Source organism: Homo sapiens, chromosome 8, assembly GCF_000001405.40.
Source record: "Homo sapiens chromosome 8, GRCh38.p14 Primary Assembly".
NCBI lineage: Eukaryota > Metazoa > Chordata > Mammalia > Primates > Hominidae > Homo > Homo sapiens.
The window spans coordinates 121910106-121921480 of NC_000008.11; positions in this window are offsets into that span (position 1 = coordinate 121910106).

Genomic DNA, 11375 nt, shown 5'->3' on the forward strand with positions numbered 1-11375 from the left:
TGCCCCAATTAAAAGACACAGACTGGCAAATTGGATAGAGTCAAGACCCATCCATGAGCTATATTCAGGAGACTCATCTCACATAGACTGAAAATAAAGGGATGGAGGAATATTTACCAAGCAAATGGAAAGCAAAAAAAAAAAAAAAAAAAAAAAAACAGAGGTTGCAATCCTCTGTAAACAGACTGTAAACCAACAAAGATCAAAGAAGAGAAAGAAGGGCATTACATATCGGTAAGGGGATCAATGCAACAAGAAGCACTAACTATCCTGAATATATATGCACCCAATACGGAAAACCCAGATTCATAAAAGAAGTTCTTAGAGACCTACAAAGAGACTTAGACTCCCACACAATAATAGTGGGAGGCTTTTACACCCCACTGTCAATATTAGACAGCTCAGTGAGACGGAATATTAACAATATGATCAGGATTTGAACTCAGCTCTGGACCAAGCAGACCTAATAGACCTCTACAGAACTCTCCACCCCAAATCGACAGAATGTACATTCTTCCCAGCACCACATAGCACTTATTCTAAAATCGACCACATTATTGCAAGTAAAACACTCCTCAGCAAATACAAAAGAATGAAATCCTAACAGTCTTTCAGACCACAGTGAAATCAAATTAGAACTCAGGATTAAGAAACTTACTCAAGGGCCAGGCGTGGTGGCTCATGCCTGTAATCCCAGCACTTTGGGAGGCCGAGACGGGTGGATCACAAGGTCAGGGGTTCAAGACCAGCCTGGCCAAGATGTTGAAACCCCGTCTCTACTAACAATACAAAAATTAGCTGGGTGTGGTGGCACATGCCTGTAATTCCAGCTACTCAGGAGCTGAGGCAGGAGAATCACTTGAACCCAGGCAGCAGAGGTTGCAGTGAGCTGAGATCACGCCACTGCACTCCAGCCTGGGCAACAGAGCAAGACTGCATCTCAAAAAAAAAACAAAAAAATAAAAACAAAGAAACAAAAAAAACTCACTCAAAACCACACAACTACATGGAAATTGAACAACTTGCTCCTGAATGACTACTGGGTAAATAATGAAATCAAGGCAGAAATAAATAAGTTCTTTGAAACCAATGAGAACAAAGAGACAACATACCAGATTCTCTGGGACACAGCTAAAGCAGTTTTAAAAGGGAAATTTGTAGCACTAAATGCCCACATCAGAAAGCTGGAATGATCTAATATTGACACCCTAACATCACAATTAAAAGAACTAGAGAAGCAAGAGCAAATAAATCCAAAAGTCAGCAGAAGACAAAAAATAACTATGATCAGAGCAGAACTGAATGAGATAGAGACATGAAAAACCCTTCAAAAAATCAATGAATCCAGGAGCTGGTTTTTTGAAAGATTAACAAAGTAGATAGACCGCTAGCCAGAATAATAAAGAAGAAAACAGAGAAGAATCAAATGGACACAATAAAAAATGATAAAGGGGAGATCACCACTGATCCCACAGAAATACAAACTACCATCAGAGAATTCTATAAACACCTCTATGCAGATAAACTAGAAAATCTAGAAGAAATGGATAAATTCCTGGGCACATACACCCTCCCAAGACTAAACCAGGAAGAAGTCAAATCCCTAAATAGACCAGTAACAAGGTCTGAAATTGAGGCAGTAATTAATAGCCTATCAACCAAAAAAAAAAAAAAAAAAGCCCAGGACCAGATGGGTTCACAGCCAAATTCTTCCAGAGGTACAAAGAGGACAAAGAGCCCATATAGCCAAGACAATCCTAAGCAAAAAGAACAAAGCTGGAGGCATCACGCTACCTGACTTCAAACTATACTACAAGGCACAGTAACCAAAACAGCATGGTACTTGTACCAAAATACATATATAGACCAATGGAACAGAACAGAGACCTCAGAAATAGCAGCACACATCTATAACCATCTGATCTTCGATAAACCTGACAAAAACAAGTGATGGGAAAAGGATTCGCTATTTAATAAAAGGTGCTGGGAAAACTGGCTAGCCATATGCAGAAAACTGAAACTGGACCCCTTCCTTACACCTTATACAAAAATTAAGATGGATTAAAGACTTAAAATAAAACCTAAAACCTAAAACTGTAAAAAACCCTAGAAGAAAACCTAGGCAATACCATTCAGGACATAGGCTTCGGTAAAGACTTCATTTACTAAAACACCAAAAGCAATGGCAACAAAAGCCATAATTGACAAATGGGATCTAATTAAACTAAAGAGCTTCTGCACAGCAAAATAAATGATCATCAGGGTGAATAGGCAACCTACAGAATGGGAGAAAATTTTTGCAATCTACCCATCTGACAAAGGTTTAATATTCAGAATCTACAAGGAACTTAAACAAATTTGCAAGAAAAAAGCAAACAACCCCATCAAAAAGTGGGCGAAGCATATGAACAGATACTTCTCAAAAGAAGACGTTTATGCAGCCAAGAAACATATGAAAAAAAGCTCATCATCACTGGTCATTAGAGAAATGCAAATCAAAACCACAGTGAGATATCATCTCATGACAGAATGATGATTATTAAGAAATCAGGAAACAACAGATGCTCGCGAGGCTGTGGAGAAATAGGAACGCTTTTACACGGTTGGTGGGAGTGTAAATTAGTTCAACCATTGTGGAAGACAGTGCGGTGATTCCTCAAGGATGTAGAACTAGAAATACCATAGACCCAGCAATCCCATTACTGGGTATACACCCAAAGGATTATAAATCATTCTCATATAAAGACATGCACATGTATGTTTATTTCAGCACTATTTACAATTGCAAAGACTTGGTACCAACCCAAATGCCCATCAATGATAGACTGGATAAAGAAAATGTGGCACATATACACCATGGAATACTATGCAGCCGTAAAAAAGAATGAGTTCACGTCCTTTGCAGCAACATGGATGAAGCTGGAAGCCATTATTCTCAGCAAACTAACACAGGAACAAAAAACCAAGCACTGTATGCTCTCACTCATAAGTGGGAGTTGAACAGTTACAAAACATGGACACAGGGAGGGGAACATCACACACAGGGGCCTGTCAGGGGCTGGGAGGCAAGTGGAGGGAGAGCATTAGGACAAATAACTAATGCATGTGGGACTTAAAACCTAGATGATGGGTTTATGGGTGCAGCAAACCACCATGGCACATGTATACCTATGTAACAAACCTGCACGTTCTGCACATGTATCCCGGAACTTTAAGTTAAAAAAAAAAAAATTATACATCTGGTGACTTGAAAGTTTTTGCACTGGTAGCTTCTAGATGAGGACATATTAAAACTGGTTTCTCCTCCCATTACCCACCCGCTTCTGGTGTCTGGTGTCATTGGACATATTAACATTGTAGTACAACTTCTGGCCCTGCACATGTGCGTCATACTGAGTCAAACCCATACAGGACAGCTAGCAAGAACTACGCCTATAAGTAATATTTCAAAACTCACGTAATTCTGTTTCACTAAACCCAAAGTAAATGTCTCCACATCCCAATTTCCCATTAATCAGATTCCACAGATGCTGACCTCCATTCCAATTCCCCCTTAATATAAGGAGAATTGTGGCAGAGGGGAAAAGCAAAACCTATCCACTGATGTTATGATTCTTTCCTGGACAGAAACTTCCTTCTGTGCTTTTTTTCAGATAGCAGATTGTATTCCCATCTCTTCAGATAGAGAGTTCTTGGAGAAATTTAAAATATGCAGTTTAGAATCTGTAATGGCCCCGGTTAGTGCATACCCGACTTACTGGCCTTCCAAGTAGGCTCCTGGTAAAAAGGTGAGGCTAAAAGCAGGCATTCTGTTCAGATTCCCTTGCCCTGGTATTTGAATGAAAACAAATCAACATTTATAAAACAAATTACCTTCCACTTTCTATAAGTTAGGATGTTTTGGATTTCAAGAAACAGAAATTCCAAATCAATTGGTTTAAAATTACCAATCATATCAAAACATGTATCTGAAAGGCCAGAGGTAGAGGTAGGGCAGGATATAGCATGGTTTATCAGTGCCAGCTCCTGTTCTCAGCGATTCTTTTGGCTCTACCATCTTGCTTTTGTGTAGGTTCAATTCCAGGCTTATTTTCTTCCTGTTAAAATTAAAGACGCTTCAGGTCTAATATCTGTATCATGCCTCATCTTGGAGAAGAGAGAGCTTCTATCATCTCATACTTACATCCTCATTGTATCCAGGGAAACTTTCTGTCCTCATTTTCATAGGCCTATATATGGGTACATCCCTGAATCAATACTTGAGGGAAGTAGGGGTACAACTTCACCAATTGAACTAGGCTGTTTAAGCTTTTCACAAGCTGATTTCACAAAGGCGACAAGTAGAGTGGATTCTAAGGGTACAAGCATTAGCTTGTAAATGTTTATACAACAGTGTTCAACTGAAAAAATTACTTATATATACATTATATGTGTATGTGTTTGTGTGTATGTGTGTATGTATGTACGCTATAGGGCGCTTCGAAAATGCTTTGAAGCAAATGTGGCTATCCCCATTTTATAGATGAGGAGACTGAGGCTCTTTCTTTCACGGTTTTCATAGAGGAACCCAACTATGGAGCAGAGAACAGACTTCTTTACCTCAATCTGTCAGATCTTCTAGTTGAGAGGCTTTGAAACACTATCCCTATTCATTTAATATCATCCAGAGAGTTGTGCCTATAGAGAAGGGGCCTGAATCTGCAAAGATTTCATGGGGATTTCCTTAGCTCAAAAAGCCAAGTATGTACAGTAATGGCATCTGTTTCTGGTCATCCAAATGTACAATATAGGACATACCCTTTATTATCCAACAGACAATTCTGAGATTTGAAGCATATTTTTTACATACAATTAAAAATGTTTAAACTTAGTTTAATTTTCCAATAACAATTTCTGTCCTTTAATGGAGGATTTAAAATTTTTCCCAACTAAACAACTTGAACAATGGACCCAAAGAGAATAATGAAGTGGTTTAAAAGAGGAAGGGGGAACCAGGAAATTTTTTTGGCAAAGTCTTCGTTTTAGCTCTAGCAGTTTGTGTAGTTTTGCACAAGTCACATAACTTACCTGGGTTTCTCTTTAACCATATTAAAATAGGAAGTAAGAAACTGCATTATAAAGTCCCTTAGTGTCCCAAACTAGAGATATATGTTGACTTTATGGAACTGGAGAATGTGGCTGACAGGAAGGGAATGAGGAAATAAAAGAAGATTGACAGACAGACAATATTTTAAATTCCATATTTATAATTCCTTTTCTCCTCTTGTGTGTGAAGGCCCCTTCAGGTAGGCCCTGCCAGTAGATATCACCCAGGCGCAGAGCTGCTTTTAGGAAAGCTCTCCCAGAAGGCTTCTGTGCTTGAAACTAAAAAGATAAGAGAGCAAAATTGGATCCATATGGGACAGCCAGCCAAGAACCAAAATGGAGAGGGATGTTAAAACATGTTGTCAAAGTAACAAGGGCTTTAAAAAGGCATTACAAGCTGCAGAGATGGCGGAAATTAAACTGGAAGCATACAAATGAGAGATCCAGGAAGCTGCTCGCAGGTGAGCAGATCCTGTCACCAGTGGACAAACTTTTTTATGTTCAGTGACATTTTGAGCCACAATTTCAAATCCAATTATCAACCTGGGACATAGGGTCATTTTTGTAAATGATAAAAAACGGAGGAATTGGCCGGGCGTGGTGGCTCATGCCTGTAATCCCAGCACTTTGGGAGGCCGAGGCGGGTGGATCACGAGGTCAGGAGATCGAGACCATCCTGGCTAACACGGTGAAACCCCGTTTCTACTAAAAATACAAAAATTAGCTGGGCATAGTGGCGGACGCCTGTAGTCCCAGCTACTCAGGAGGCTGAGGCAGCAGAATGTCATGAACCCGGGAGGCGGAGCTTGCAGTGAGCTGAGCTGGCATCACTGCACTCCAGCCTGGGCGACGGAGCGAGACTCTGTCTCAAAAAAAAAAAAAAAAAAAGGAGGAATTAGTGAAGTAGATGTCTTATTGGAACACTTTAAAATTTTGAATCATATTTAGTTTTCAATAGCACATCTTTCAACAGGTATGCCAAGGAATCTTCTACTGAATTCAGAATGGAAACTCATTTTTGTTGGTTTATAATAGGCCTGCCACACCCCATGTGAGATAAAAATTATTGATTATTGAATCATCTGTATAATTTTTAGACATCAGATAAAAATATTTGCTGTGGGTTTGCATATGCCTCAAATTATTGATAATAATTTTTGCTTATTGTAGGAATATAGTAGAAAAAGGTAGTTATATTGTTGGGAATTTTCACAGGGGCTTTATATACAGTCATTTAAAAAATTATTAAATTCAGTCAACCACTAAATATTTTGCAATTTGTCTATAAACTAGATGTTTTGAATCACAAATTTTTCCCCAAAATTTTGTTAGCTGTTTGTTGTTGTTAATAGAGCCTTTTTCAAATAACACATAGAGAGAGAAGCAATGCATTTTGCTGAACTTTTATTCTTAGACTGCAGTTTACTTGAAAGTTTTGATTTAGATCTTTATTTTTTGCCTTTTAATTTAAATGTCTTGTTGGTTGAGTGCTCATCAATTAGCCCATTTTAGGTTTCTTTACTGGCTATAGCTGTTTTTAACACTGAAAAATACCAGAATGACAGTTTTCCTTTCAATGTGGTAGAAGTCAATGAGGTACTTTACTTAGAATAGCTTGGGATTGTGTGTATGTGTGTGCATGTGTATTTGTGTTGGAGGTGAGGTGGGTTGCTGTGGAGAGTAGATGGTTCAGCCCAGGTATGTGAACCTCAATGCTGCCCTGAGTCAGGAGGCTGGGGTATAGAGCTTGGCCTAATGCAGAAATATAGCTGACACTTTGGGAGGGAAATTATCTCTTACTTGAAAAATTACATTAAATAGTAATGTATACTATACTTAAATGTATACTAATATAAAATTTACCAATTTTATATTTGGTAAATGAGTAAAAGGTATTATATTCATAATGAAAACTAAAAGGTTTCATAGATGTTTGAAAATTACTGAGTGGTCTGTTAAGACCATTTTATTTTAACAGACTAAAAAGTCAAATATATACCCATTTCTAGTGGCTTCGTCTCCATGTCACTGTAAAGATGTTTCTTTGTCACTGGCATGGCATGGATGATTTATTTCTTCTTTCTCTGTCTGTTGTTCATGTATATATTATATATTAGCAAGTCGTACTGGACAAAAAGTTGTATAAAACAAAAGAAGTCATCAATCTCCTAAAGGAAATAAGCCCATACCTATCCAAAAGCATATGTGGAATAAAGCAAAACTTTGGAATCAGAAAGACCTGGATCAATAACACAAATCTACATTGACAATTTAATTGTGTTGCCTTGTATAAGTCACTGTCTATAAATATGTAATTTCATATTTAAAAAGCTGCATAACTAAACCGAAGTTAATTTTTGAGGATTCATGAGAAAACTATCTGAAAAGAGGTATGTGAAAGGCAAATTTTCTTTGAAGCCTAATGAAAGCATGTTTGTAATGTGAGTAATAATAAGAATGATCATGCTATTACAGTAATAGAATATAATAATAATAGAAATAGTATAATAATTATTTTTTACATAGTTGGAGTCACCTTAACAATGACTTTTTGGTATGGAAGGATCACAAGCATTAGCCAATTCATTATGAAAACATAAAACAAATATGTATTCTTTATTCTTGAGAAAGCCCTAAACCAGCAAAGTAATTTAAATGCAAGTGCTTCAAAGTTAAATGCTACATATTCTCATCAGTTATATAGCCTGGCTTATTAATGTAAGCAGAAGCAGACAGGGTTATAGTTTTGTTTTGTGTTTTTTCCTAAAACTTATTTTCTTTATTACCAAATGCTGTGTTCATTTGCTTTTGGGAAGAATGTGAGTGCGTGTGTGTGTGTGTAAGCTACTAACTCAGGACTGAACTTTCCTTCACAGTAGAGAAAAATATATAAAAAAGAACCTTAGAGTGCTACATGAACAAGACTCTATGCCCCACATATATTTAAGATAAAATTTCCCAGATGTGGAGATATGCAATGATGTCTCCCCAATAGATGGTAAGATCCATAAGAACAAGTAATATGTGTGTTGTTGTTTCATTTTGCTGTTGTTTGTAATCACTGAGCATCCAGTAGCTTAGCACAATGCCTGGTACCGGAAATTATTATAGCTGTTGAATATATAGATGAGATAATTGTTAAATGAGTGAGTATCCACCAGAGTATATAGGTGTTGCCATTATGCACACCACGGGGCAGAATTTAGTTCTTTTGAGTCTGTGGAAGAAAGTTCTTCTATCTCTGGAGCTATGAGGAATTTGGAGCTAGACTCCATGGGATAGAAATAGAAAATGATTCCTACTGGGAATTAGCTTGCCTTCAGTTCACAGAAGCAGCGGGATTTGGAAGAGGATATGTGGATGAACTTGGTCTTTGTTTTTAGGCATATTTATTTCTAGTAGCAGTCAAAGTATTTAATTAATTAGTGTATTCGTTTGTTTTATATATATATGTTATGTATTTATTATATATATGCTTAGCTACACATCTATTTAAATTATCCTAAAATTGTTAAATATACCAAAACTATTTTCCTAAAATTTATTAAATACTGTAGCCTGGAATTAGCAGTGATTAATCTGAAGGCACATTTTTAGGTGCTTTGAAGAGAATCAGGTCAAAGTAGGGTGATCAATTAGAGAGAGAAAGGAAAGACACGGTAAAGCTGTGAAGCACGTACATGTTTTGGAGGGGAAATATCAGATATTGCTCTGGGAGAGGAATCTGGTAGAACTAGGAAAGACAAGAGTTTGGATCTATTGAAATTTAGGCATGAAAGGGAATGTCACCACATTGAGGTCTGTGGATACATCCATATGACATCCTAAAAAAATCAGCATCCGGCATGTATGGGATCATCCTAAGGTGGTTATTGTTACTACTATTGTCTTTTTTTGCAATTACTGCTGTGATTGACACTGTGTCCAATCACACTGTACATGTACAAGCACTTGTTAAATGCCTGAGCCTGTGAAAATGTGATAGATGACATCAAAATTTGGCAACACCTGCAGTAAGAAATGTAAATTCAGTTCTTCAGATAAGGCATATGTTTAGGAAATATATAATCGGCAAAGAAAATATATGATGAAACATAAGTTCATTTATTACTTGGTGTAAATGCTGGGGAATCTTATCTTGCTTGACTCAGTGGCCTGAGTCATGCCTAATTCTGGAAAGGAGGGGTCATAGACTCCCAGACAGAAGTCATCTTGCCTCTGGTTGAGAATAAGACAGAGATTAAAAGATGTCTCCCAGCAGTGCCCTCATAACCTAAGAATTGAGTGGAGACTTAAAGAAAGAGTGGGAAGTGTAGGACATGGTTTTCAGGTCTTAACTTTTTGCCAAAGAAAACAAATGTCATTTTACTTGTTTTTTTAACGGAGACACAAGTAATGTGTGAAGATGCTGCTATTGTTGTAAAGGAGTTCTGACAGTGAAAATTTGTAGAAAAGGAGGCAACTTTAAAGGAGCCATAAATTTCCAATTTCTTCCTCAAGACTTCAGAACAAGTGTGGTTCCTCAATGCTCAGGGTAATCTAATTCGGAAATGAGCTAACAATTTCCTCTTGAGTAGCCCTCTGTATTGCTGTTTGTCTGAAGCAGAAATATCCAGAGAGGCCAAATGTGTGTTCATGTGAAATGTCGGTGGCAACAGAGACAATATTTTGGCCAAAAAATTCAAGCCAAAACAATTTTTCATTATACAGAGAGAATATTAATATTCTGTTTTTTCTTATATGTTGGGCCAGCATTCTTTGAAAAGAGGTATTTTATATTTTTCTTTTGGATCATAGACTTGTTAACGGAAAGACAGAAACGGACTCTAGAGATACAAAGGTTAATAATATTTTTGAAGAAGATGTAAAGACAAGTGGTTTCTCTAAAGTCTTGTTGCTTATCACCCTAGTATTAAAGGGAAACATGAATTGACTTTCTTAAGAAACATTTAAGAACAGCAGCTCCCAAAACTGTAAGCCTTAGTTTACATGTTTCCAAATGGAAAATGTATTACTTCATGTTAACTAACAGGTGCTCATCATAAATACTTGCTGAAAACTAAAGAAAATAACTTGTGTGGAACTTGAAATGGAAAAAGGAAGCCTAAGCATAAACCTCCAATTCTGAAGCAATTAAGCTATGGAAAAATTTTCAAAGTTAATCAAATTAGAAATTCATTTAAACAATCTAGGGAAAAATGATTAACTTATTCTTCTGATTTAATAACTAAGGACTGATTATCTAAGTAGTTGGTATATGAAGAGTACACAATTTATAAATAAGAGGTCAGTGCAAACATCAAAGAAAGAAGCATGGTTTACAATGGAGTGAAGAATGAAAACAGGGTAGTTTACTCATTCCTTTAATCACCAAATATATATATATGTTTTTTTTTTTGTTTTTGAGTCAGAGTCTTTTTCTGTCACCCAGGCTGGAATGCAGCGGTCTGATATCGACTCACTGCAACCTCCACCTCCCAGGTTCAAGTGATTCTCCTGCCTCAGCCTCCCTAGTAGCTGGGATTACAGGCGTCCGCCAACACACCCAGCTAATTTTTGTATTTTTAGTAGAGACAGGGTTTCACCATATTGGCCAGGCTGGTTTTGAACTCCTGACCTCAGGATTCACCAAATATATTTTGGTACCTAGTAGGTACCTAAAATGGGGCTCGGTGCTAGTGACAAAATAATGTGCCAAAATGAAGGAAAGGAACATATAGCATGAATATCTCAAGAAAAATACACTTTCATAGACTCTTCTCCATTCTACCCAGGACTTCAAATGTGAAAACAAAACCTGTCAAACATAAGATGTGTTTATATATAGGCAGGCTGCCCTTCTCTTTTAAACTGGTGACCTGATCAATATATTGTATCTGTAGTTTTTAGGGTTCTGTGATTCTAAGAATCTCAGAAGAAATGATAAATCAAAAAAAAAATCTGAACCAGATGCATAGGACAAGTGCTATTTTCTCTTGGCTAAATGTATTGAAAATATGCTGTCAAGATCTTTGACCTAGTTCTGTCAACTCAGAGAACACAACTATCATAGAAGAAAACACACTATTATGTATTTTTCATAGCTACCCAGATGGACTCTACATTACCTTACGGTTGCAGGATTCTTGATGTTCTTTTATTGTAATGTTGATTTTATTGTTACCAGATACTTGGCCATGTGCCTTGGGTTATCCAGGTTCATGGCCCAACAAACGAAATAAAATTGGAATCATACTGAATACCTACATTTGATGAAATAATGATATGTAAGAGAAATAAGAAGGATAGCA